Source organism: Homo sapiens, chromosome 17 (assembly GCF_000001405.40).
Source record: "Homo sapiens chromosome 17, GRCh38.p14 Primary Assembly".
Lineage (NCBI taxonomy): Eukaryota > Metazoa > Chordata > Mammalia > Primates > Hominidae > Homo > Homo sapiens.
This window is the reverse complement of record NC_000017.11, coordinates 15,975,918-16,002,167: the sequence shown is the minus strand read 5'-3', so window position 1 is coordinate 16,002,167 and position 26,250 is coordinate 15,975,918. Positions and strand designations below refer to the sequence as shown.

At 44.5% G+C, this 26,250-nt stretch overlaps 2 protein-coding genes across 12 annotated transcripts in view, besides 6 other annotated features; one reads left to right on the top strand and one right to left on the bottom strand.

Annotated features, from left to right (window-relative positions):
• Positions 1-2,344, bottom strand: part of TTC19 (tetratricopeptide repeat domain 19) — a 45,192-nt gene extending 42,848 nt beyond the window's left edge. For 4 of the 5 annotated variants that reach the window (XM_017024802.3, XM_017024801.3, NM_017775.4 and 1 more), the window contains exons 1-3: positions 2,136-2,344; positions 1,923-2,050; positions 143-253 (exon numbers count right to left, since the gene is read on the bottom strand). In XM_017024802.3, the coding sequence (XP_016880291.2) occupies positions 143-253; positions 1,923-2,050; positions 2,136-2,319 (423 nt within the window). In that variant the 5' untranslated portion in view covers positions 2,320-2,344. Of the gene's footprint in view, positions 1-142; positions 254-1,785; positions 2,051-2,135 lie in introns of all 5 variants that reach the window. The other variant, NM_001271420.2, reaches the window with a different exon arrangement.
• Positions 1,991-2,380: a silencer, noted in NCBI's record as "silent region_8214". NCBI's record gives its function as "represses an Ori minimal core promoter by ATAC-STARR-seq in GM12878 lymphoblastoid cells {active_cell/tissue: GM12878}" and the evidence as "EXISTENCE:reporter gene assay evidence [ECO:0000049][PMID:35858748]".
• On the top strand, positions 2,464-25,608 carry ZSWIM7 (zinc finger SWIM-type containing 7). 7 transcript variants are annotated; one of them, XR_007065263.1, is made up of 8 exons: positions 2,464-2,649; positions 8,390-8,411; positions 14,800-14,902; positions 21,024-21,128; positions 24,005-24,124; positions 24,255-24,368; positions 24,468-24,589; positions 25,076-25,608. XR_007065263.1 is itself a non-coding variant. In XM_047435364.1 (6 exons), exons 1-5 carry the CDS (start codon positions 2,574-2,576, stop codon positions 24,119-24,121), a joined length of 423 nt encoding a protein of 140 aa, XP_047291320.1. In that variant the 5' UTR covers positions 2,464-2,573; the 3' UTR covers positions 24,122-24,124; positions 25,076-25,608. The 7 variants fall into 7 exon arrangements, 5 of the variants coding, with proteins under 5 accessions (XP_047291320.1, NP_001036163.1, NP_001036162.1 ...); XR_007065264.1 differs by having other exon boundaries at positions 24,468-24,922; XM_047435364.1 differs by lacking the exons at positions 24,255-24,368; positions 24,468-24,589.
• Positions 2,501-2,590: an enhancer, noted in NCBI's record as "active region_11746". NCBI's record gives its function as "activates an Ori minimal core promoter by ATAC-STARR-seq in GM12878 lymphoblastoid cells {active_cell/tissue: GM12878}" and the evidence as "EXISTENCE:reporter gene assay evidence [ECO:0000049][PMID:35858748]".
• Positions 2,731-2,890: a silencer, noted in NCBI's record as "silent region_8213". NCBI's record gives its function as "represses an Ori minimal core promoter by ATAC-STARR-seq in GM12878 lymphoblastoid cells {active_cell/tissue: GM12878}" and the evidence as "EXISTENCE:reporter gene assay evidence [ECO:0000049][PMID:35858748]".
• Positions 19,376-20,065: an enhancer, noted in NCBI's record as "NANOG-H3K27ac-H3K4me1 hESC enhancer chr17:15885417-15886106 (GRCh37/hg19 assembly coordinates)". NCBI's record gives its function as "activates a minimal SCP1, AML or CMV promoter by ChIP-STARR-seq in naive H9 embryonic stem cells {active_cell/tissue: H9 hESC(naive)}" and the evidence as "EXISTENCE:reporter gene assay evidence [ECO:0000049][PMID:30033119]".
• Positions 22,443-23,029: an enhancer, noted in NCBI's record as "NANOG-H3K27ac hESC enhancer chr17:15882453-15883039 (GRCh37/hg19 assembly coordinates)". NCBI's record gives its function as "activates a minimal SCP1, AML or CMV promoter by ChIP-STARR-seq in naive H9 embryonic stem cells {active_cell/tissue: H9 hESC(naive)}" and the evidence as "EXISTENCE:reporter gene assay evidence [ECO:0000049][PMID:30033119]".
• Positions 23,030-23,615: an enhancer, noted in NCBI's record as "NANOG-H3K4me1 hESC enhancer chr17:15881867-15882452 (GRCh37/hg19 assembly coordinates)". NCBI's record gives its function as "activates a minimal SCP1, AML or CMV promoter by ChIP-STARR-seq in naive H9 embryonic stem cells {active_cell/tissue: H9 hESC(naive)}" and the evidence as "EXISTENCE:reporter gene assay evidence [ECO:0000049][PMID:30033119]".
• Positions 25,609-26,250: the final 642 nt, after the last annotated feature.

Below are 26,250 nucleotides of genomic sequence, written 5' to 3'. Positions count from 1 at the left end.
CTGAAGCCAAAAGAAAACTCAGTAAAAAGAAAAGGAGTTTTAGAACATCGTGAAAGTCAGGAATATAAATCAGAAGAACTAACTACCCTTCCCTCCCATCCAACCTTCCTCATCAGTGGTTCAGACTGGTTATAAGAGTTACCAAATCATAAGTGTAAGTGATGGCCTTCTTGTTATCAGTCTGATAGGCGAGACGAAGAGCGTCATGCAAAATTAACTCAGCCTCTTCTGGCTCATCTTTCATAATGCTCAACTGAAAAGGGAAGACAAAATAATAGAAAATGAAACATATAGTAGATGCATATGCTAAGAGACAGAAGTGTATGCAACTGTACATCCCAACTGATAGAAGGAAGCTAACTCATTCATCAGACATTTACTGAATTCCTACTATGTACAAAGCATTGTCTACAGAGATGACAGGGAGGTCAGCCTCCCTTGCAGCTAGGTGTGGCCATCTGATGAAGTTTTGGCCAAGAGACACAGGCAGAAGGAATGTGATCTTACAACATATTTTATAAGGAAGCTGCTTGTCCTCCATCCTCTTTCTAATTTCTTGCAGGCTGGAGGTGACCATATAGGACAAGTAAGCTTAATTACAACTAATGATAAGAGCTATAAAGATGACAGAAAGGAATGATAAGGGGTCTCCTCTAAATAGGACTTAGGGAAGCCTTCCAAGGAAGTGACAGCTAAACTGAGGTAGTAAGGATGAGAATGAGTCAACCAAATAAGGACCTGGGGAGAACAATGACTCAAACAGAGGGTAGAGAATGAGTGAAGTCCCTACAAGCTGAAGAGAATGGTTTTGAGGAAGAAATGCAAAGAAATAGATGTGAAGGGAGGATGGTGAGCCAGAGGATTACTGCCAAATGGGTGGGCAAGGTATATGCTGGTTTAGATCATGTGGGGTGTTGCAAGCCAAGGCAAGGAGTTTGTATTTTATCATAAATGCAGTGGGTAGCCATTCAGAGCTTTCTGACAAGGAGATGACATAATCCAATTTACTCTTTTTTTTTTTGGTCGCTTTGGTTTCTGCATGGAGAATAGATTGCAAGAGGCCAGGAGGCCAGGAAAGACTACTGGAGCATAGTTGGTGGCAATGATGGTTTGCACTAGGGTGACAGCAAGGGAGATAGACAAAAGGGGAAAGATTTGAGAAATATTTTGCATTTGTTGGCAACAGGACTTGTTGCTGGACTGTAAGTGTATTGGAAGGCAATGGTAAGGTACCACAAGTTTTAAGAATGACTATGAGGTTTTTAGGCTGAAAAACTGATGGTAGTAAAGAGATGGCGAAAGCGTATGTTGAGGAGGCATTAAAGATCGTTTAGTTTTGGGCATGTTAAATCTGAGAGGTAGGTATGGTCCTAAAGTGCAAATGGCATGTCAGTAGCACACTACAGAATGGAAATACAAATTTGGACGTTGTTGGCATCGAGTAGGTATTTAGCTCAATGGAAGAGATGAGATAACTTGGGAAAAGAGGAGGAAAAAAAAATAGAAAAGGATGTGGAGAAAAGGAAGAATTCAGGAGGAGAACCGAACCGCATAACCAACACTAAGTTGCCATTTTCAGGCCGCTATATACGTGCGAAATTATGTCATTTCAGATAGGCTGGTTAATTGATAAAACCACTACAAAACGTTCCCGATATTTCGTTTGCATAAAGCGTGATGCCTAGGGCGCCATCTCCATTTGCACTTGACACTGCAGAGGTTTTACTGCAGGCCTTAGAGTCGGAAAAGCCTGGATGGATTCCAATCCCCTCTCGGATGACCCACCTCATTCTCGGCAATTTTACCCGCGGAGCCTCCATCCACTCTTCGGCGAGGCGGAGAGAGTAATGCGCAGCAACGCCAAGACCCCGCTCACAAAGGCTACCGCGCTCGGCCGGGCGCAGGGCCCGGAGCCGCCTCACCTTGGCTCGCTTCAGCAGCTGGATGATCTCTGCCTCGGCCTCGTCCGCCCCGTCCTCGGCAGCGGCCCCGTCGGCTCCCTGCTGCTCCTCCTCCTCTGCCGCAGCGGGCCTCGAGAACCAGGCGAGCGCTGCGGGAAGGGGCTCTGAGGTCATCGGGCCCGGCCCGCGCCCCTGTCCCCGCCCGGCCGGCCCCGCCCGGCCCGCGCCCCTCACCTGCCAGCAGCGGCAGCAGGCCTGGGCCCCGGCCGTGCGGCGCGACTCGGGATGGCGGCACCTGCACCTCGGGCCCCGGACCTCCTGCCAGCCCCGGGAGCAGGCGCGCGGAGCAGCCCCGGCACCGCCGCCCCGCGGCCCGCAGGAAGCCTCGGCCCAGGCTCCAGCTCAGGAGCCGGAACATGCTCCCGCCGCGTCCTCTGCGCACTGCAGGCCAGACGCGCTCCTGGCCCCCGACCACGCGCCGAGCGCCCTCCGGATTGGCCGGGCCCTGACGACTGAGCAGGACATCCCTGCGTCCGCACGCGCGATGACGCGCCCCGACGTCACTCCGTCTCGCCCTGCCCCGGCGGGGGGTCAGGATCCTCCACAGGTAGGCGCAGTCAGCTGGAGCGTCGCGGCGGTCCGCCGGTCGTGGAGGGCGTGTCCTGCGGCGCGATGGCCGTAGTGTTGCCGGCGGTTGTGGAGGAGCTCCTGAGCGAGATGGCGGCGGCGGTGCAGGAGAGCGCGCGAAGTACGGGACCGAGGTCGTGTGTGGCTGCGCCATGGGCGCGGGCGGGGCATCCGGGCACCGCCGGGCCGGGAGGCAGGAGGCGGGGTGTCCGGGCCTGGCCCTGCCTTTTTTCCATGTGGTTCTCTAAACCTCTTGTTCGTAAAAAGACAAAAAAACAAAACAACAAAAAAGCGAAATTGGAACAAGTAAAAGTCAAATCGATTCAGCAAATATTTACGGTACAGCGCAGTTGCAGGAGCCCCTCCGTCGGAGCGAGTAGGCCAGTGGGGACCGAAGTGCTGAGAGCTGGCCGGGTCGCTGGGAGGGGTCCCCGCCCGGGGGTGGAAGGGACGGGAGCCTACAGTGAGTGATAGAAACGTGGAGTTCTTGATTATTTTACACGAAATTTTGAATTATTAAACTTCTTTTTCTCAAATTCTGATGTTAACATTAAAGTTAATGCTTCCATACACTTTAAAAAGTAGGCCCAGCGCAGTGGCTCACTCCCGTAATCCCAGCACTTTGGGAGGCCGAGGCAGTTGGATTACCTAAGGTCAGGAGTTCGAGACCAGCCTGGCCAACATGGTGAAACTTCGTCTCTACTAAAAATACAAAAAATTAGCTGGGCGTGGTGGCGGGCGCCTGTAATTCCAGCTACTCAGGAGGCTGAGGCAGGAGAATCGCTTGAACCCGGGAGGCGGAGGTTGCCGTGAGCCGAGATCGCGCCATTGCACTCCAGCCTGGGCAACAAGAGCGAAATTCCATCTCAAAAAAAAAAAAAAAAGCATTTTAAGAGCCACAAAACCTAAATGCATATGCAATCGTTGGAGTAAATCTGGGTATTGTGAAAGCACCATTTTTTTTCTGACCAGCAGAGGGTACTCTTTGGCTATGCTCACCAAAATCACTTGAGAAGGGTTGATCTCAAGATGTGTTCAGAGTATGCTAGGATAAGATCAAATCAAATTTGATATACTCAAAATGCATTGACTAATGAACTACTCTTAGGATGTAAAAATGGCCACCTTATAAATAACAGCCATATCAGGCCCCCAAACTGCCATCGCTTATTCAACTTGGATGGCTTTTGTTTTAAAAGTACTGTACTGCATTTTGAAAGGGTTTATCTTGAGTTACTGTTTTTAAGGAACTGAGAAAAATAAGCCAACTTTGTTTCCTCATCTCAGTCAAAATTAAGGAGACTTAAGTATATGTGCTTGAAAGATTAGTGCAGCCAAGTATTCAAACATACTTGTTTCCAAAAAGGATGGGAAAAAAGCCAACTGATGTTAGCTTATACAATTGTTCTGGGCTCTCAGATTTGATGGCCTGAGGGTTTGGAATGCTGTCACTTTAAACAATAATCGCCAGAACTGTTCTGTGTCTGAATAGGTTAATCCATACACTGACAGTAGTTTGGGTTGGTTTGTTTTTTTTTTTTAGACAGAGTCTTGCTCTGTCTCCCAGGCTGGAGTGCAATGGGCGATCTCAGCTCAGTGCAACCTCCGCTTCCCAAGTTCAAGTGATTCTCCTGCCTCAGCCTCCCAAGTAGCTGTGACTACAGGCGCATGCCACCACACCCGGCTAATTTGTGTATTTTTAGAAGAGACGGGGTTTCACCATATTGGCCAGGCTGGTCTCAAACTCCTGACCTTGTGATACGGACACCTCAGCCTCCCAAAATGCTGGGATTACAGGCGTGAGCCACCGTGCCCAGCCAGTTTTGGGTTTTTTCCCTCCAACAAGAAGGTTCACAAGACACATTGACAGTCCTGAAGGGGGCATAATCATTGCCCCTGACACCCATGGTTCAGACACAGGAACCAATGCTGTTGATTCATGTTTATTTTCAGAAGCCCTGTTTTCTGTCTTTTTCAAAATCTTTTTTCTATTAATATATAGTTATGCACCCTTCCTAACCCCCATTCTTCAGTGGTAATTTTTTTAGATCAAGATTCCAAGTTTTATTTGTATGATGATATATAAACTAGTCACAGTGGAACCATGTAGGAAGCTATGATTACTTTTTGTTTTCTTTGTAACTTTTGGATTTCCCTGGAGTTACAACTATCTTGGTTTTGTTTATGTGCTTATTTAGTTTTTTACATATTTATTCCTACTTTAACCTCACATCCTTTACTAGTGTTCTCAATCTCCCCTCAAGATGTTCAGATGAACGAAGTATGTTATCAGTTTCACCTTCCTGAAGACATCTCTAGAGCCTTCGGACTTGCTTAATATGGACTGGCTGATCTCTCGGCTGTTTGCTGAGATCTCTCTTAACCATTATTATCTGGGAATTCTCTGTATCTTTGTTGGGTCCTATGTTTAGTATATCCTACAGTTTTCTTTTTCTCAGTTTACTACCTCTTTTTTTTTTTTTTGAGACAGTCTGTCACCCAGGCTGATGTGCAATAGCATGATCAAAGCTCACTGTAGCTTTGACCTCCTAGGCTCAGATGATCCTCCCACCTCAGCCTCCCAAGTGAGTATCTGGGACTGCAGGCACACAATACCACAGCTGGCTAGTTTTTTGTATTTTTTGTAGAGACAAGGTCTCACTATGTTGCCTAGGCTGGACTCGAAGTCTGGAGCTCAAGAGGTCCACCTGCCTTGGCTTCCCAAAGTGCCAGGATTACAGGCATGAGCCACCGCACCCGGCCCATGTAAAATTTTTTTTTTTTTTTTCGAGACAAGGTCTTGCTCTGTCACCCAGGCTGGAGTGCAGTGGCACAATCATAGGTCACTGCTCCCTCAACCTCCCAGGCTCAAGAGATCCTCTTGTCTCAGCCTCCTGAGTAACTGGTACCACAGGTGTGCACCACCATGCCCAGCTAGTTTTTGTATTGTTTGTAGAGACGGGGTTTCACTGTGTTGCCCAGGCTTACTACCTTATATTATGGCACACAGACTCTGCCAGCTTCCTGAAGAAGGGGGCATGAGATGTACCTTTTGAGGCTTTCTTTTCTATTTTTTGAGACCGGGTCTCACTCTGTTCCCCAGGCTAGAGTACAGTTGCGCAATCACACCTCATGCCCAGCTGATTATTTTATTTTCTGTAGAGACGGGTCTTCCTTTGTTGCCCAGGCTACTCTGGAACTCCTGGGCTCAGGCGATCCTTCTGCCTTGGCCTCCCAAAGTGCTGGGATTATAGTTGTGAGCCCCCACACCGGCCCCTGTTTGAGGCTTATGTCTGAAAAAGTTGTGGGGTTTTTTTGTTTTTTTGGGTTTTTTTTGAGACGGAGTTTCGCTCTTGTTGCCCAGGCTGGAGTGCAATGGTGCAATCTCTGCTCACCGCACCCTCTGCCTCCTGGGTTCAAGGGATTCTCCTGCCTCAGTCTCTCGAGTAGCTGGGATTACAGGCATGCGCCACCATGCCCGGCTAATAGTTTTTCTATTTTTAGTAGAGATACTAAATGTTAGTCAGGCTGACCATCGCGCCCGGCTGAAAAAGTTCTTTTTCTGCCCTTACACTTAAGTGATTGTTTGTCTAGGTATTGAATTATTTGTTGGAAATAATATTTCTTCAGACATCTGAAAACATTTTTCCACTACATCTTAGCTTCTAGTGTTACTCCTGATTTTTGTATGTGACCTTTTTTTTCTCTGGAAGTTTGAATTATGTTTTCTTCATAACCAGTGTTCTGAATCTTCTGATAAAGTTTTTTTTTTTTCACTTCACAGTGTGGGCACACAGTGGGCCCTTTCAAGCTAGAAATTCATGTCCTTCAGCTGTGGGGAATTTTGAATTATTTGATTGATGAATTCCCTCCATCTGTTTTCTCTGTTCTTTCCGGTATTTCTGTAATTAAGTTACTGGATGTCCTCTGTTGTCCTTCTGGTTGACTTACTGTGGCTTCTGTGTTGCTTTTATATTTTCTCTACTTCCTGGGAACTTTCTTGAACTTTATCTTCCAGATTTTCTGTTGAATTTCTGCTGTCTTTTTTTTTTTTTTTTTTTTTTAAGAGACAGGGTCTTGCCGGCCACAGTGGCTCATGCCTGTAATCCCAGCACTTTGGGAGGCCAAGGTGGGCAGATCATCTGAAGTCGGGAGTTCGAGACCAGCCTGATCAACATGGAGAAACCCCGTCTCTACTAAAAAAATTAGCTGGGCGTGGTGGTGCATGCCTGTAATCCCAGCTACTCTGTAGGCTGAGGCAGGAGAATTGCTTGAACCCGGGAAGTGGAGGTTGCGGTAAGCCGAGATTGCGTCATTGTACTCCAGCCTGGGCAACAAGAGCGAAACTCCGTCTCAAAAAAAAAAAAAAGAGAGACGGGGTCTTACTGTGTTGCCCAGGCTGGCCTCAGACTCCTGGTTTCAAGCAATCTTCCTGCCTCAGCTTCCCAAGTAACTGAAACTACAGAGACATACCATGTATTTTTAATTTATAACTTTTTTTCAGAAGATTCCCTTTTTCTTCTTATTATGCCTTCTGCCTGTTTTTGTGCCTGTTTTATGATTGCATTAACTTTTTTCTGATGATAAAATATTAGTAATAGATGTTTAAAATTTTCTCCTTTCTGCAGTTTTTCCTCTAACTTTCTTCTGTTTGTTTTATTCTATTTCCTTTTTCCTTTGTTGTCTGGTAACCCTTGGCTGTCTAGTCATATTTCAGAGTGGAAGACTAAAAAGTATATTGGAAGCTCTGGGTGGTAGAGGGGCTTACGGAATATGAACGTCACTATAGTTGTTCTCAGTAGGCTATTTAGTTGGGGAAACCATTTCAGTGTCATTCCCACTTCTCTTGGGGTATACCTAGGGAAGACTTCCAGTCTCCTGGCTGAAGTGTGAAGGCCTGATTGCTTGTGTTATGGGAGCCATGTTAGGGAAGAGAGCAGGAGATCCTGTTTTCAGTGTGACACCCTGACTTTCACTGTACCTAGTATTTTTCCCTAGTCCAAATAGCCTGTGTTTGAACCTCTCCAGAAAATAAACCTAGTCTCTTGCCAGAATGAGGGAAAGGCAGTCACCTAAAGCTGTGGAGGGAACTGGGGTCCCACTACTTCTCAAACGTACTCGAAAAGAGTCTTATTTTCATATCCCTGTTTCACCCCTAATGAAGCTATTTGGTGCCACCAATTCGTTAGGGTTTGGGGAAGGGGAGAGGTGGATTTTGGAGTGTAACTCAGGCTGGTGCTTGACTCTCCCCATTGCTGGCCTAGGATTCAGTTTTCTTAGGTCTTATAAATCATTTTCCACTCTTCTATCAGCTTCCAATGTATCATGGCTGTTGTTTCTCCCTGTCTTTCTCATCCTTTGGAATTCATACTTTTAAAAACAAATCTGGCCGGGCACGGTGGCTCATGTCTATAATCCCAGCACTTTGGGAGGCCAAGGCCAGTGGATCACTTGAGGTGAGGAGTTCAAGACCAGCATGGCCAGCATGGTGAAACCCCATCTCTACTAAACATACCAAAAAAAATTAGCTGGGCATGGTAGTGCATGCCTGTAGTCCCAGCTACCTGGGAGGCTGAGGCAAGAGAATGGTTTAAACCCGGGAGGCGGAGGTTGCAGTGAGCTGAGATTGCACCATTGCACTCCAGCCTGGGTGACAGGACAAGACTCCGTCTCAAAAAAAGAAAAAGGAAATCCTTTTATTATGGTTTTAGTGGGGTTTGGGGAAGGAGTAAAACCAGATGCATAGGTTCAGTTGACCATCACACACGGAAGTGTTTTTAGTTACAGTGTTTTTTAAGATTTTTATGTCAATGGTCACTGCTTAATATGATTAACTTTTTTTTTCCATTCTCATTTTACAGTTCCTGATGAATATCTGTTATCGTAAGTACATATACTGTTGTATTTGATTTTTTTTTAACCATTAATGTTAAAATCCTTTCAACATCAACTCTTGATTTTTAAAAATACTCTTGACCGGGCGCAGTGGCTCACGCCTATAATCCCAGCACTTTGGGAGGCCAAGGTGAGTGGATCATGAAGTCAGGAGATCAAGACCATCCTGGCCAACATGGTGAAACCCCATCTCTACTGAAAATACAAAAAATTAGCTGGACGTGGTGGTGGGCACCTGTAGTCCCAGCTACTCAGGAGGCTAAGGCAGGAGAATCACTTGAACCTGGGAGGTGGAGGTTGCAGTGAGCCAAGATCATGCCACTGCACTTCAGCCTGGGGACAGAGTGAGACTCTGTCTCAAAAATAAATAAATAAATAAATAAATAAATAAATAAAATAAAAAATAAAAATATTCTTACTACCAGGCACTGTGACTCACACATGTAATCTCAGCACTTTGGGAGGCAAAGGCAGGAGGATTGCTTGAGCCCAGGAGTTCGAGACCAGCTCTAGCAAAATAGGGAGACCCCCCATCTCTACGAAAATAATTTTAAAAATAGAATAAAAGGCCAGGCACCGTGGCTCACACCTGCAATCCCAGCACTTTGAGAGACTGAGGTGGGTGGATCACTTGAGGTCAGGAGTTCAAGACCAGCCTGACCAACATGGTGAAACCCTGTCTCTACTAAAAATACAAAAGTAGTGGGATGTGGTGGCACACACCTGTAATCTCAGCTACTTGGGAGGCTAAGGCAGGAGAATTGCTTGAACCCGGGAGGTTGTGGTTGCATATCTCGCTGCGATTGTGCCATTGCACTCCAGCCTAAGTAACGAGCAAAATTCCATCTCAAAAAAAATAAAAAATAAAAAATACTCTTAGAAACTAGGAATAATATTTTCTTGACATGATTCTTAAAAATTTGTCTCAATTGAATAGCCAACACCATATCCAGTATTGTCATATTTGCCACTCTTATTTAACATTGTTTTAAAAATTGTGGCTGTTGGCCGGGCGCAATGGCTCACGCCTGTAATCGCAGCATTTTGGGAGGCCGAGACGGGCGAATCACCTGAGGTCAGGAATACAAGACCAGCCTGACCAACATGGAGAAACCCTGTCACTATTAAAAATACAAAATTAGCCAAGCATGGTGGTGCATTCCTGTAATCCCAGCTATTCGGGAGGCTGAGTCAGGAGAATTGCTTGAACCTGGGAGGCAGAGGTTGCTGTGAGCCAAGATCATGCCATTGCACTCCAGCCTGGGCAATAAAAGCGAAACTCTATCTCAAAAAAAAAAAAAAAAAGCGTAGCTGTTCAACTAACACATGAAAAAGAAATTACAAATGTACCTATCTGCAAGGAAAGACAATTATCATTATTTGCAGTTGATACAACTACTTAAATGAGAATAATATAGAGTGGTCAGTTATTTTAAAAATGCAGAGACCAAAAAAGTAAAAGCTACCTAGGTATAAGTAATACTTAATTACTGATACACACTTACATTTAAAAATCCTGGCCAGGTGCGGTGGCTCACGCCTGTAATCCCAACGCTTTGGGAGGCTGAGGCGGGTGGATCACCTGAGGTCAGGAGTTCGAGACCAGCCTGACCAACATGGTGAAACCCCGTCTCTACTAAAAATACAAAAATTAGCCGGGCATGGTGGCAGGCACCTGTAATCCCAGCTATTCGGGGGGCTGAGGCAGGAGAATCGCTTGAACCCAGGAGACAGAGGTTGCAGTGAGCTGAGATCATGCCATTGCACTCCAGCCTGGGTGACAGAGGCAAGACTCTGTCTCAAAAAAAAAACAAAACAAAACAAAACAAACAAAAAAAAACAAAACCTGTCCCAGGAGGACTGTTTGAGCCCTGAAGTTCCAGGCTGCAGTGAGCTATGATTGTGCCACTACACTCCAGCCTGGGTGATGTGAGACCTTGTCTCTAAAAAAATAAAAGTTCTGAAGAATATATACCAAGCTCTACCAGTGTTTTTTCTTTGGGGCAAGGAAGGAGGTAGAATTGAGGGAACGGCCTTAACCTTTACTGTATTTCTTAAATTTTTAATAAGAATTAAATATTACTGGAAAAAAATGTACTACTTTAAAAACAAAAGGGCAAAGAATAAAAGATGTAAATAGCCGAATCCTTTGGGAGGAAAAAGACAAATCTTACTAGTGACCACAAAAATACAAATTAACATAACATAACTTTTCATCTAGAAAATTAGTGACCACAGAAAAGAAGTTGACACAAATATGGGGAAAGGGGTCATTTATAACAGGAATGTAAATTGCAGGGTAACAGGCAATAGGAACTTTAAAACATACATATTCTTTGACCCAGAAATTCCACATAAAAGAACATATACCCAGGAAGTAATTATAGATGTTTGTAAAGATTTTACAGTGAGGATATTCTCAGTGTGATGAATATCCAGTATTGTTTATGGTAGCAATAAAACATAGAAACAATCTAACAATTCATGGAGTTTGAGGAGAATAAAAATGATTCATCTTTACAGTAGAATTATTTGTAACCATTAAAAGTGATATGGAAAAATTTTTAATGCATTCAAGAGATGTTCACAGTAGGTATTAAAGTGGACAGAGCAGGTTAAAAAAATTCTTTTTTTTTTCAGACAGTGTCTCACTCTGTCACTGAGGCTGGAGTACAGTGGCGCGATCTCAACTCACTGCAGCCTCTGCCTCCCAGGTTCCAGTGATTCTCCTGCCTCAGCCTCCTGAGTAGCTGGGACTACAGGTGGCACACACCGAGGCAGGTGGATGATGAGGTCAGGAGTTCCGCCTGCCTTGGCCTCCCAAGGTGCTGGGATTACAGGCATGAGCCACCACACCTGGCCTTAAAAAAATTCTTAAAGGTAACTGTTGAGATTGATTGGTAAGGTTCCCGACAAATTTTATTTCATTGTTTTTTGTATTTTGTTATTTTATAGACTAAATCTTCATATGTTTAATATAAAAATTCAAAGCACTCTTTTCTATTTCCCCCAATAATTTGTTGTATATGTGGCTGGTTTGTTGGAAAATGAAGTAAGAAGTTGAACATTTTAATTTTGAAGCCTTACTAGGTTTGTCTTACTCTGTGTTAAGTCATATAAGTTCTTTAAAACATTAACTTTTCAGTTTGAGTTTAACCCTGCCATTTTATTTTCTAGTTTATAAAAATAACCCACACTTAGGCCGGGTGTGGTAGCTCATGCCTGTAATCCCAGCACCTTGGGAGGTGGGATGCGCCTGTAATCCCAGCTACTCGGGAGGCTAAAGCAGGAGAATCACTTGAATCTGGGAGGTGGAGGTTGCAGTGAGCAGAGGTCGTGCCACTGCACTCCAACCTGGGCAACACAGTGAGACTCCAACTCAGTAATAATAATAATAATAATAATAACCCACACTTATAAAAAACTTTTATTGGAAAATAAAACCTATAAAAAGCATCAATAATCATACCACCCAGTAATAATCACTCTTAAATTTTGGTTTATTGCTTTTTTTTTTTTTTTTTTGAGACAGAGTTTCGCTCTGTCACCCAGGCTAGAGTGCAGTGGCGCGATCCCGGCTCACTGCAAGCTCCGCCTCCCGGGTTCACACCATTCTCCTGCCTCGGTCTCCCAAGTAGCTGGGACTACAGGTGCCTGCTACCGTGCCCAGCTAATTTTTTGTATTTTTAGTAGAGACGGGGTTTCACCGTGTTAGCCAGGATGGTCTCGATCTGCTGACCTCGTGAGCCACCTTCCTCGGCCTCCCAAAGTGCTGGGATTACAGGTGTGAGCCACCGCGCCTGGCCGGTTTATTGCCTTTTCAAAAAATTAAATTTTGGCCAGGCATGGTGGATCACGCCTGTAATATGAGGATCGCTTGGGGCTGGGAGTTTGAGACCAGCTTAGGCAGCACAGGGAGACCCTGTCTCCACAAAATCAAAAAATTAACTGGATGTGGTGGTATATACCTGTAGTCCCGGCTGCTAGGGAGGCTGAGGTGGTGGGAGGATCACTTGAGCCCAGGGGGTTCAGGCTGCAGTGAGCCATGATTGCACCACTGGAATCCAGCCTGCCTGGGTGACAGAGAGAGACTTTGTCTCAAAAAACAAAAAACAAACAAACAAAAAGGCCAGACACGCTGGCTCACACCTGTAACCCCAGCACTTTGAGAGGCCAAGGCGGGGGGATCACCTCAGGTCAGGAGTTCAAGACCACCCTGACCAACATGGCAAAAGCCCATCTCTACTAAAAAATACAAAAATTACCTGGGCATGGTGGCCTGCACCTATAATCCCAGCTACTCAGGAGGCTGGGCCGGAGAATCTCTTGAACCCCGGAGGCAGAAGTTGCAGTGAGCCGAGATTGTGCCACTGCTCTCCAGCCTGGACACCAGAGTGAGACTCCATCTCAAAAAAAAAAAAAATTAAACTTTTAATTTTGACATAATTGTAGGTTTCCTTTAAAAAAGTTAACATGCTTGAGAGTTCCTAAAATATAATTTTGTCTTCAACCTTTCTCACCTAATATTATAAGAATTTTCTCACATATCAAAGTTTTTTCCTGTATATCATTTAACAGTTGGATAGCCTTATTACTAATCCAAAAAGTACACATTTATTATCTTCAGATGGGCAACATAAAAAAGCCTGATAATACTGGTGTTAGTGGGGACATGGAGAAAGTAGAAGTTGGTTTTTCTGTTTGTTTGTTTCATTTATTTTTTTTTTGAGACGGAGTCTCCCTGTTACCTGGGCCAGAGTGTAGTGGCGCGATCTTGGCTCACCGCAACCTCCACCTCCCGGATTCAAGCGATTCTCCTGCCTCAGCCTCCTGAGTAGCTGGGACTACAGGCGTGTGCCACCACGCCCGGCTAATTTTTTGTATTTTTAGTAGAGACGGGGTTTCACCATGTTAGCCAGGATGGTCTCGATCTCCTGACCTCTGGTGATCTGCCTGCCTCGGCCTCCCAAAGTGCTAGGATTACAGGTATGAGCCACCGCGCCCGGCCTGAGAAAATAGAAGTCTTATACAGTGCTGGTGGGAGTGCTGTTTTCACTTTTTTGTGTGTTTTAGTTTTTTTTTTTCTTTTTTCTTTAGAGATGGGGTGTCACTACATTGCTCAGGCTGGTCTTGAACTCCTGGACTCAAGTGATCCTCTTGCCTCAGCCTTCCAAAATGCTGGGATTACAGGCATGAGCCACCACTCCTGTTTCCACTTTGGAGAGCTATTGGCAATATCTATTAAAGTTGAAAATGAACATATGCTTTAGTTACATAAACTAAAGGGGGATTTTCAGAGATGTATGCCAAGGGACATGTATGGGGATAATTGAATATTATTTATAATAGTATAAAATGGAAACAATGTCCATACATAGAGTACTTAAATAAAATTCAGTGTATACATATAATGGAATATTATTCAAAGGTAAAGTAAAAATAAATGTCCGTCAACATGCCTCATTTTCAAAAATGCATTGAGTAAAAAAATGCAAGTTGCCAAAAGAAGTCTACGATATTTTATATTTTCTTTTATTTTTCATGAGCTATTTCAGGAACAGCAAAAAGAAGCCTACAATATACCTTTTATGTTTTAAAACAATACTATATATGTATATGCATACATCTATGCACGTGTGTTTGTTATGTATGTGTGCATACATATGTTCTATATATAATATTTAATATGAACACATTAACAGGAAGGAAACCAACAAATGCATGTGCTTGCCTCAGGGATAAGGGGAAGGTAGGAAGAAGGATGCACTACAGAGAAGTATAAAGAGGGCTTCTTTATCACTAACAGTTTACTCCCTTTATTAAAAATATAATACAGGCCAGGCGCAGTGGCTCACACCTGTAATCCCAGCACTTTGGGAGGCCGAGGCAGGTGGATCACCTGAGGTCTGGAGTTTGAGAGCAGCCTGACCAACATGGAGAAACCCTGTTTCTACTAAAAATACAAAATTAGCCGGGTGTGGTGGCACATGCCTGCAATCCCAGCTACTTGGGAGGCTGAGGCAGGAGAATCGCTTGAACTCGGGAGGCAGAGGTTACGGTGAGCCAAGATTGCGCCATTGCACTCCAGCCTGGGCAGCAAAAGAAAAACTCCATCTCAAAAAATAATAATAATAATAAATAAATATATATACACACACACATATATACATAATACAAGAAGATCTGAAATAAGTACACAAGATATTAACATTAATTCTGGGGAGTGAATGGGTCCATGGGTTTTGCTGTATTATTTTCCTTTTTTCAAAATTAAAATGAATTTTTAAAAAATACTAAGTCTAGTGATCCTTTGGGCAAGTTACTGAGGTGACTTTGAGAATCAGGCCTTCTAATCTGAAGTGTTTTTATTTCACAGGCTGAAGTTTCTCTTTGGCTCATCAGCCACCCAGGCCTTGGACCTAGTTGATCGACAGTCCATCACCTTAATCTCATCACCCAGTGGAAGGCGTGTTTACCAGGTAGAAGTCTAGAGATGGGGGTGATCCCTACAGAAACCCCTTAGGACAAAATGTTCTTCATCTCTGTAGAAGCTGTTGACTAGCTTTAAATATTTCCTGGACTGTTAAAAGGCTTTTGCCCCAACTTGGTAAAATTAACGAATTGATAATTTTTTAAAATTTTTATTTACTTTTAACTGACAGAAACTGTCTATATTCATGGTATATAACATGATGTTTTGATATATGGATACCTTGTAGAATAACTAAATCAAGCTAATTAACATATCTAATACCTTATATACTTCTTTTTTTGTGGTGAGATCACTTAAAATCCATTATCTTAGCAATCTTCAAATATACAGTACTTCAGTCTTTTTCTTGGTTTTTATAGAGACAGGGTCTCACTATGTTGCCCAGGCTGGTCTCAAACTCCTAGGTTCAAGCGATCCTCCCACCTTGGCCTCTCACAATATTGGGATTACAGGTATGAGCACCATCCCCGCCAATACTTTGTTATTAAATATATTCACCATGTTGTACCATAGATACCCTGAACTTATTTCTCCTAACTGAAATTTTGTACCCTTTGACCAATATCTCCTTATCTTCCTCTTCCTCCCCCACCCCAAGGCCCCTGGTAACCACTATTTCTTTTTCTATGAGTTCAACTTTTTTTTTTGTTTTAAATAAAGACAGGGTCTTGCTATGTTGCCCAAGCTGGTCTTGAACTCCTGGCCTCAAGCAGTCCTCCCCCTTCAGCCTCCCAAAGTGCTAGGATTACAGGCATGAGCCATTGCACCCAGCCTATGAGTTCAACTTTTTTTAGATTCCACATATAAGTGAGATCATGTGGTATTTGTCATTCTGTACCTGGCTTATTTCACTTAGCATAGTTTCACTTAACAAAATCCTCCAGAAATTTTTGTAACTAAAATAAGATGGCCAGGCGTGGTGGCTCACGCCTGTAATCCCAGCACTTTGGGAGGCCGAGGCAGGTGGATCACCTGAGGTCAGGAGTTCAAGACCAGCCTGGCCAACGTGGTGAAACCCCGTGTCTACTAAAAATACAAAAATTAGCTGGGTGTGGTGGCAGGTGCCTGTAATTCCAGCTACTCGGGAGGTTGAGGCAGAAGAATTGCTTGAACCCAGGAGAAGGAGGTTGCAGTGAGCGGAGATCGCACCATTGCACTCCAGCCTGAGTGACGAGCAGAACTCTGTCTCAAAACAAACAAACAAACAAAAACACAAAAAAAAACTTGGATGGTATTGTCCTACTCAAAAGAGACTGCCAATTATTAGATGAATTTTCTCATGGAGAACTTAGGAATAATCAAAGTCACTGAACTTGCAGTTTGTACCTGAGGAGGTGTGTCTGTCCTCTTTCCTGGTGTTTTTATTTTTGGTTTTTAGGTAGCTAAAATACCCGAAACTAGAGGGACCTTCAAGTTTTTCCCATTGCTTTTAGTTTGGGATATTTGGTCTTGATTCCATTATGGGCACAATACTTGACCTGGCAAGTAGACTTTTGTTTGAAATAGTTTAATTACTGTTGACTTTTTGTTCCTCCCATTGGTCAACAGTAACTTAAGTCACTGGTTTAGTTTTTGTCGTTCACATCTGGTATATATTACATTGCTTTATTAATTATAAAATACTAACTTCCAAGAATTGTGGCTGTCATCTTGGACTTTGAATTAAATGAGGCTGTAGAAATCTTATACACCCTCAAATTAACCTTAATGGTTGCATTGTATGGTAATATAGTAAGAATTTGGCTGAATTCAGGAGTTGTATGAGATGATAAAAGTTGAGTCACATACTGCCTTAGTGCCCAGCTAGTTATCTTTTCATAGGTCATTCTTCATCCCATAGGTCAACTCTAATATTATTGTTCTCCAGATGTAATGTGAAATAATTCTAAAGTCATTGTTATGTTGCTGACACCTGAGTTGTTTTCTATAATTTTTTTTTTTTTTTTTTAAGGCAGAGTCTCGCTCTGTTGCCCAGGCTGGAGTGCATTGGCATGATCTTAGCTCACTGCAACCTCTGCCTCCTGGGTTCAAGTGATTCTTCTGCCTCAGCCTCCTGAGTAGCTGGGATTACAGGTGTGTACCACCACGCCTGGCTAGTTTTTGTATTTTTAGTAGAGATGGGGTTTCACCATGTTGTCCAGGCTGGTCTCAAACTCCTGACCTCAGGTGATCCACCACCTTTGCTTTCCAAAGTGCTGGGATTACAGGCGTGAGCCTGCACTCCTGGCCACTTTTTATACTTTTTTGATTCACTTAATAAGGAGGATGTTTCAGTCAGGAGAGGCTAAGTTATGCTGTGGTATCAATGACCCCAAATCTGAAAGGCTTACAAAAACAAAGTTTTAGATCTCATTCATGCTGTGTATCCACCAGGAGCCAGCTGTAGCTCTGTTCCAAAACAGCTTCATGCAGGGATCCCAGTGGGCAAAGCAGCCCATATCTGGAACACTGTGAATCTCAAAGAGAAAAAGGAAAACATGGTACACAATTTTTAACATTTTTCGCTTGGCTACTCAGATTTTACTAAAGCAGGTCACATGGCCAGCCTGTATTTAACAGGCCAGGAATGTATAATCCTGTTTTCAGAGAGAAGCACCAAACACAAGGAACAATAACAAAGACACTGTGGAGTGTCCTAAGAGGCTTGGAGCGGTCATAAAATAAAACTGTACCCATGAATGGATGACCATGTAGATGGGTCACCTCTCCTTGCGACCTAACTGAAACCACAGTAGAACCACAGTAGAAACCACCTCCAAGTGAGGTTCCTACAAGTTCTGTCAGCCATGGTCTGAGTATCCTCTTTCCAGCATGTTCCTTTTTTAAAAAGCTCTCTCCTTCTGGGGATAAACATTCCAGACTATAAGCGGGAAAACTAGGAGCAATTCCTGTAAGAGGAAGTTGTTTTTTCACTGAAGGGTGAAGGAATTGAATTATGTTATCCTTAAGGTCAATTTCCAGTTCTAAATGTTTCTAACTCAGATTTTGCCTGATTGTTGGGTTCATTAGTTGTCCACTGCTAGATAAGCGAAAAGCAAATTCGAAATTTAACCTCTTTTGGTGTTTATTGCTTTAGGCAGTTGAACATTTTGAGTCTTAGCCCTTGAAAGGCTCAGGCAAGGAAACTCTGTAGAATTTCTCCCCATCTCAAGTCACCAGCTGTTTATTCAGCATGATCCAGGGAGGATTATGATGGACGGGGACTCGCAATAAGAAGGAAGCAGTGAATTATTCTAGTCAGTACAGAATCCCAGAGGCTTCTGCTTGCTTAAGTTTAAATCTAGAGAGAAGAGACGAGATAACTAAAGGGAGAAGAAACCTAAAGTTGTATTCATTGGTAATAGTTTAGACACCCAAGAATTATAGGCCGGGAGTGGTGGTTCATGCTTGGAATCCTAGCAGTTTGGGAGGCTGAGGCGGGTGGATCACCTCAGGTCAGGAGTTCAAGACCAGCCTGGCCAACATGGCAAAACCCCATCTCTACTAAAAATACAAAAGTTAGCCAGGCATGGTGGCACATGCCTGTAATCCCAGCTAATCAGGCGGCTGAGGCAGGAGAATGGCTTGAACCCAGGAGGTGGAGGTTGCAGTGAGCCAAGATTGCATCATTGCACTCCAGCCTGGGCAACAAAATGAAACTCTGTCTCAAAAAAAAGAATTATACATGTCACTGCTGGATGTTGTGGGTTTTTTCTTTAGGATTAAGTAGAAAACAATCTGCTTTAATGCTCTTCCTTCAGTGTAAGCTTCCACACATGCTGGGGAAATCTCTCCATTGATACTGAATGGTCTCGGTGATATGTTCATAACACATCAGAGCCTTGCAGTAGGTAATATGCAAGGTGTGCTTTTTCAACACCTAATTTGTAACTGGGTGGAAATCTTTTTTTTTTTTTTTTTTTTTTTTGAGACAGAGTCTTGCCCTGTCACCCAGGCTGGAGTACAGTGATGCAGTCTTGGCCCACTGCCACCTCTGTCTCCCGGGTTCAAGTGATTCTCCTGCCTCAGCCTCCTGAGTAGCTGGGATTACAGGCACCCGCCACCACACCTGGCTAATTTTTGTATTTTTAGTAGAGATGGGGTTTCACCATATTGACCAGGCTGGTCTTGAACTCCTGACCTCATGATCCACCCGCCTCAGCCTCCCAAAGTGCTGGGATTACAGACGTGAGCCACTATGCCCGGCCTGAACTGAAATCTTGAATGTGTTCAGTAGGCATCTTCTTACCCAATCATTGGCTATTTCTGGTAACCTAAAATCTCCCGAGGAATTCTGACTGCGTCAAAAAACCATACTGAGGCTGGGTGTGGTAGCTCATGCCTGTAATCCCAGTGCTTTGGGAGGCCAAGGTGGGAGGATCACTTAAGCCCAGCAGTTAAAGACCAGCCTGGACAACATAGCAAGACCCCATCTCTACAAAAAAAATTTTAAAATTAGCATAGGGTGGTGGCGCACACCAGTACTCCTACCTCCTCAGGAGACTGAAGTGGGAGGATCACTTTAGCCGAGGGATTCAAGACTGCAATGAGCTATGATCTGCCACTGTACTCCAGCCTGGATGACAGAACAACATCCTGTCTCCAAAAAACAAAAATTAAAAAAAAATGTTAATAAAAGCTGTACTGGGATAACTGCATTATATGAACCACTGAAAATGTGACAAAAGCACAGCAGTGGAACCTGCTGTTTGTTCTTGCAGTCAAACCATACCTGTAGCTTTATTCTCTGTGGGTAAGAAAGATTAAAGAATCCTAGGAGTGCTAACATTGTAATTCAAAAAAAATTTAAAAGTCCTTGCTTTTTCATTTAGATTGCCATCTGAGAGCCTAAAAGTGCTTTGAAGGCTGTGTGGCAAATTCCTAAGTGGCAGTTCATTATAAAATCACCCTCAGGACATTTCTGCTTCCCTCAGATACTAATAATAATCTTACGCCTCCAGGTGGGAAGTTAACTCTAGGAATGAAGACCTCAACAAAAAGTTTTTGGCTGCTTGGTGGTAGAGAGACTTAAACAAAGGATTTCTCCAGCAAATTTGTGCGATCATACTACAGATGTGTCTTGTTTCTCCTGTACCTCTCCTTTTTGTCCCTCTTGACCACCACCAAGACTGTTAGACTGTGCCTCTTATCAACCCACTATGTATCAGTGTCCTCCTTCCATCCTGCTAGATGAGTAGGCAGATCTGGGCCTGCCTCTTTTCCTGAGACCTCCATCCTGAACAGCTGAGTCATTCCTTTCGCAAGGGTCTTTGCTTTATTTATTCTCTCTGCTCTCAAATGCTTTTCAAAAGCCTCTTCCCAGTTTCTTCTTTTGTTCTTCTGTGACCTATCTTTATTTTAGAGATGGGATCTTTGTCACCCAGGCTGCAGTGCAGTGGTGCAGTCACAGCTCACTGCAGCCTTGACCTCCCAGGCTCAAGCAGTCCTCCCTTCTCAGCCTCCTGAGTAGCTGGGACTACTGGCATGTGCCACCATACCTGACTTTAAAAAAATTTTTTTTTCTATAGAAACGAGGTCTCACCATGTTGCCCATGCTGGTCTTGAACTCTGGGGGGGGTCAAGTGATCCTCCCACCTCGACCTCCCAAAGTGCTGGGATTACAGGCTTTGAGCCACCACACCCGGCCTGAGACTTATCTTACTCCTGCCCTGCTACTGACCCTTTGCCTGTTTTTACTCTCTCTTTAGGTATGTAGGAAGCTTTAGAAATTTATACACCTGCTGTGAAATACCAAAGGTTAAGAACCCCCACAATAAAATGTAGATGAGAGATTCCCCCCCCCCACTTCCTTCTTATTACAGTCAGCCCATAGAGTGGGCCCCATGAATCACTAGGCGTAGGAACAGAATGGTTTATGTGGTTGGTTGAACTAATCTGAAACTCTTCAGTTCCTTTATATGCTGTCCTAAAGGTGAGCACTGAGAGGTGAGGAAGGGAGAGTCTGTACACTGGAGGAAGAGAAGTTGTTTCCTCTTTTATGTAAAACATTACTGCAGTTCTTCTCGGTGCAATTTGCAGAGCAACTCTGAGTCTACATAAATAAAAAGGGAAAGAGGTGGTTTTTCCAGCACATCTGAGGTCTGATCCCATCTATCCTTTCTTTGTAGGTCCTTGGAAGTTCCAGTAAAACATACACATGTTTGGCTTCTTGTCATTACTGTTCATGTCCTGCATTTGCATTCTCAGTGCTACGGAAGAGTGACAGCATCCTGGTGAGGATGGGGAAGACTCTTCCCACTGTAGTTGAATGTAGAGAGAAATTGCCCTTACTTTGTGGTTTAACTATTCTACAAAATGGGAATCTTATTATATGTTGAAACAAATGGTAGTTTTTTGTCTTTGTCTTCAGTTAGTCACCTCTTAGGGGTTTAGCCTCTCAAAATGCAATGTCATTTTTAGAACTGCATCAATTTCCTGAATTTTTATGTAAAAGATCATGAGTGAAGCTTTGAGAAGGAAAAAAAGGGAATCCCAGAAGTGGGCACTGGGGAATTAGATGGCCCCATAAAAATATGAACTAAATTCGATGTTGACAACTTTGCATATCCTACTTTCAGCCATGTGGTATATCTTTGCACTACCTGTGAGACAGCCTGACACCACACTTGACCTTCACATGGGGCATGAGTACCTTCACCTATTCCTTTAAGCCTTTGCCAATTTCATCAGAGTCCAGACCATGAAGCAGAAACAGGACATACTCACACACACCTTATTCCAAAGGAAAAAACACTACCTTCCTGAAAGCAGGCAGCTGTTTTCTAAGTCTTGCGAAAGAAGAAAATAATGATGTCCACTCCATTCTTTCCCTTTCTTTTACACTGTTAACTTCTTAAACATCTTGGGACCTGGCTGGCAAGTTGGGTATAGCATTGTCCAAGAGGCCACATTCGTAACTGATGTGCCCTAAGTGTATCTCAACTGCAAGAGACAGGATTGAACCAAAACCCCTTCAAGATCTAAAGCTGTGTTCTCTGACATCAGATTCAACGCAATCATCTCCCCAGAGGTGTGTACAGGCCAATATATGCAAGAGTTTTGCCACTACTCCCCGCCCCCCAACCCCAGAAGTATAACACAGTAGTTAAGAGAGTAGCCTAGACCAGCCGCCTCGTCCGGGAGGTGAGGGGCGCCTCTGCCCGGCCGCCCCTACTGGGAAGTGAGGAGCCCCTCTGCCCGGCCAGCCGCCCCGTCCGGGAGGGAGGTGGGGGGGTCAGCCCCCCGCCCGGCCAGCCGCCTCGTCCGGGAGATGAGGGGCACCTCTGCCCGGCTGCCCCTACTGGGAAGTGAGGAGCCCCTCTGCCCGGCCAGCCGCCCCGTCCGGGAGGGAGGTGGGGGGTTCAGCCCCCCGTCCGGGAGGGAGGTGGGGGGGTCAGCCCCCCGCCCGGCCAGCCGCCCCGTCCGGGAGGGAGGTGGGGGGGTCAGCCCCCCGTCCGGGAGGGAGGTGGGGGGGTCAGCCCCCCGCCCGGCCAGCCGCCCCATCCGGGAGGTGAGGGGCGCCTCTGCCCAGCCGCCCCTACTGGGAAGTGAGGAGCCCCTCTGCCCGGCCAGCCGCCCCATTCGGGAGGGAGGTGGGGGGGGTCAGTCCTCCGCCCAGCCAGCCGCCCCGTCCGGGAGGGAGGTGGGGGGGTCAGCCCCCCGCCTGGCCAGCCGCCTCGTCCGGGAGGTGAGGGGCGCCTCTGCCCGGCCACCCCTACTGGGAAGTGAGGAGCCCCTCTGCCCGGCCACCACCCCGTCTGGGAGGTGTACCCAACAGCTCATTGAGAGCGGGCCATGATGACAATGGCGGTTTTGTGGAATAGAAAGCAGGGAAAGGTAGGGAAAAGATTGAGAAATTGGATGGTTGCTGTGTCTGTGTGGAAAGAAGTAGACATGGGAGACTTTCCATTTTGTTCTGTACTAAGAAAAATTCTTCTGCCTTGGGATCCTGTTGATCTGTGACCTTACCCCCAACCCTGTGCTCTCTGAAACATGTGCTGTGTCCACTCAGGGTTAAATGGATTAAGGGCGGTGCAAGATGTGCTTTGATAAACAGATGCTTGAAGGCAGCATGCTCGTTAAGAGTCATCACCACTCCCTAATCTCAAGTACCCAGGGACACAAACACTGCGGAAGGCCGCAGGGTCCTCTGCCTAGGAAAACCAGAGACCTTTGTTCACTTGTTTATCTGCTGACCTTCCCTCCACTATTGTCCTATGACCCTGCCAAATCCCCCTCTGTGAGAAACACCCAAGAATGATCAATAAAAATAAATAAATAAATAAATAAAACAAAAATTAAAATTAAAATTAAAAAAAAAAAAAAGAGAGAGTAGCCTAGAGACTCTGATGAGCATGTGGTTACAATACCTGTCTTCCTAGGGAGCTGTCAGATTTCAGTGAGATAATCTATGAGAAGCACTTCACAGCCTAGTGCCTCAAGGAATGTTAACCATTGCTGTGACAGCTTTCTGAAGGCAAGGAAGAAATATAACTTAGGACTAACGTGAGGAGTGCAGGTAGTCTGGGTTTTCACCATGGGTTACATACCTTGTGCCTGATGGATCTAAGCCATTTCCCAAAGCAGCAGGCAAAGTAAGTCTGTGTCCACTCTGATTTCTAAAGAGAATACTCCTGTCTCATCATCTTTATCTGCAGTTTTTATTTATTTATTTTTTGAGACAGTCTGGCTCTGTCACCCAGGCTGTAGTGCAGTGGCGTGATCTCGGCTCACTGCAACCTCCACCTCCTGGGTTCAAGCGATTCTCATGGCTCAGCCTCCTGAGTAGCTGGAATTACAGGCATGTACCGCCACACCCAGCTAATTTTTGTATTTTTAGTGGAGACAGGGTTTTGCCATATCAGCCAGACTGGTCTCGAACTCCTGATCTCAAGTGATCCATCCGCCTCAGCCTCCCAAAGTGCTGGGATGACAGGTGTGAGCCACCATGCCCGGCCCATCTGCACTTTTTAGACAATCAGTTAGAGACCCCGTAATCTGTATGCTCTAGTCTTCTCCTGCCAAATAAGATGGTAATGAGAAATCTTGGTTAGACTGGCCAGCCCTGGCCCTGCCTGTTTCTAATAGGTGTGTGTGTTTTATATTCCAGTGCAAGCATCTCTTGGCAGTTTACCTGAGTCAGGTTATGAGGACCTGTCAGCAGCTAAGTGTCTCTGACAAGCAGTTGACTGACATATTATTGATGGAGAAGAAACAAGAAGCATAAAAGGTACAGATTGAGCATCATTCTTTCAAAATAGAATCCTGTCAAGAAATGCATTGAAAGCGTCATGATTCACATGGAAAAGAGGTGAAATGGATCTTCAGACACTTCATGTTACTGTCCCTTTTCCCTCCAGGACTGCAGGAGGTGCTGTGGGTTGGAGCCGTGGGCTGTGGAGGGTTTGTGTATGATGAGAAGCCCTGTACAGTCTTGTCAAGAAATACCCTGAGCCAGTCTCTGAGACGCTTCGGTAAAAAATGTCCCTGGATGGAATCAAGATTTTAAATTCAAATAAAGCCTAATATCATGTTGTGTCCACATTATTTAGTCTTTTTTTTTTTCTTTTGAGATGGAGTCTCACTTTGTCGCCCAGGCTGGGGTGCAGTGGCGTGATCTCAGCTCACTGCAAGCTCCGCCTCCCGGGTTCACGCCATTCTCCTGCCTCAGCCTCCCGAGTAGCTGGGACTACAGGTACCCGCCACCATGCCCGGCTAAATTTTTGTATTTTTTTTTTAGTAGAGATGGGGTTTCACCGTGTTAGCCAGGATGGTCTCCATCTCCTGACCTAGTGGTCTGCCCGCCTCGACCTCCCAAAGTGCTGGAATTACATGCATGAGCCACTGCGCCTGACCCTATTTAGTCTTAAGTAACTAACTGAATTACTAGTAATTTTTAAAAGGTTGGAATGGTGGGCCAAACAGTAAGATGAAGTTTCGACGAGTAGGTCAGTTCTTTTCCTTGGGTCCAGGAAACTATTGAGCAGCAACAGAAGATCAGAGCAGAGATGTGGCTAAACAGTAGCAGGTATGAAAAGACTTAGAGGTTCTGGTTTCTGTAAGCTTCAAATATCTGTGATGCTTGTGCCAAAACAGCTTAAGTAGACTGTATTGTTTGAGAGTTAGTATCGAGAACAAGGGAAGAACTGGTTTCACTCTGCACTTCTGATCTTTACAACAGGGCAATTGAAGGAACAGACTAAAAATCGTGTCCTGGAAGGAAACTACAGGTACTACCAGGGATTTTCAGTCTGAAGAAGAAAAGACAAAATAGATGACAGAAGGAGTATTAGAAGGGAGAGCGATGAGACTCAGTTGGACACCGAGAGAGCAAAGAAGCAATAATACGTGAAGATGAAAATGAAATCAATTTCAGCATAAGAAGACAAGAACTTATGGTAAAGCTGCCCACAGCCAGAAGAGGATCCTAGAAGGACAGGAATTCCCTGTCTGCAGCATTTCATAAGCATGTAATATTGTTGCAGGGATACTGCAGAAGGAGTTGAAGCAGTGGACAGACAGATGATATAGGTGATTTTACAGCCTAAGAAAGCCCTGTGCTTGTGCCCCCAAAACATGAGGTGCTAGTGAATGAATGCTGGGGGAAAGCCCAGGGCCTAGGTGTTGCAATGTTCTGTGGTTGGCAGATGCTTTTTGTTTTGTTAAAAAGTGCAACAGATAAAATTTATCAATACTTTTCTGCTACTCAGGAAACTTGGACTCAGCATAACTTACTTTTTTTCCAGCAGCCTTCAGGGTAAAGTTTAGAAGGTAGATGCAACAAGCCAATGCAGCACCCTAAGCTTGTCTTTTTAAGTTTTATTTTTATTTAACCTAATATACACAGAGTTAAATAATTTTACTTCATAAAATTTTCACACTTTGAGTTCCAAGAACTTAACCAAACTTGAAATTTGGAGAGAAGCAAAATTCCCTATCTATCTATCTAGCTCTAGAAGGCAGAATTTGGTAGAGGAGGGATCCCATTTCACCAGTTTCTTCCCCACGGGTAGTTTTCTGTATATGGAAAAGAATGGAGCTTAAAATTATGTGATGAAAATTTGACTTATGAGACTATCAATCAATCATTTCCCTAAATTAATACAGCAGTTTCTTGATTGAATACTTTATTTATATATATATATATATATATATATATATATATATATATATATTTTTTTTTTTTTTTTTTTTTTTTTTTTTTTTCTGAGACAGAGTCTCACTCTGTCACCCAGGCTGGAGTACAGTGATGCCATCTGGGCTCACTGCAGCCTCCGCCTCCCAAGTTCACATGATTCTCCTGCCTCAGTCTCCTGAGTAGCTGGCACATGCCACATACCCAGCTAATTTTTGTAT

Coding starts and splice junctions, on each gene's coding strand:
- ZSWIM7 (XM_047435364.1), top strand. CDS start 2,574: ATGGCCGTAGTGTTGCCGGCGGTTGTGGAGGAGCTCCTGAGCGAGATG. Junction 14,903..21,023: donor GTGGAAGGCGTGTTTACCAG/GTAGAAGTCTAG, acceptor CTTTCTTTGTAG/GTCCTTGGAAGTTCCAGTAA. Junction 21,129..24,004: donor GGAAGAGTGACAGCATCCTG/GTGAGGATGGGG, acceptor TTTATATTCCAG/TGCAAGCATCTCTTGGCAGT.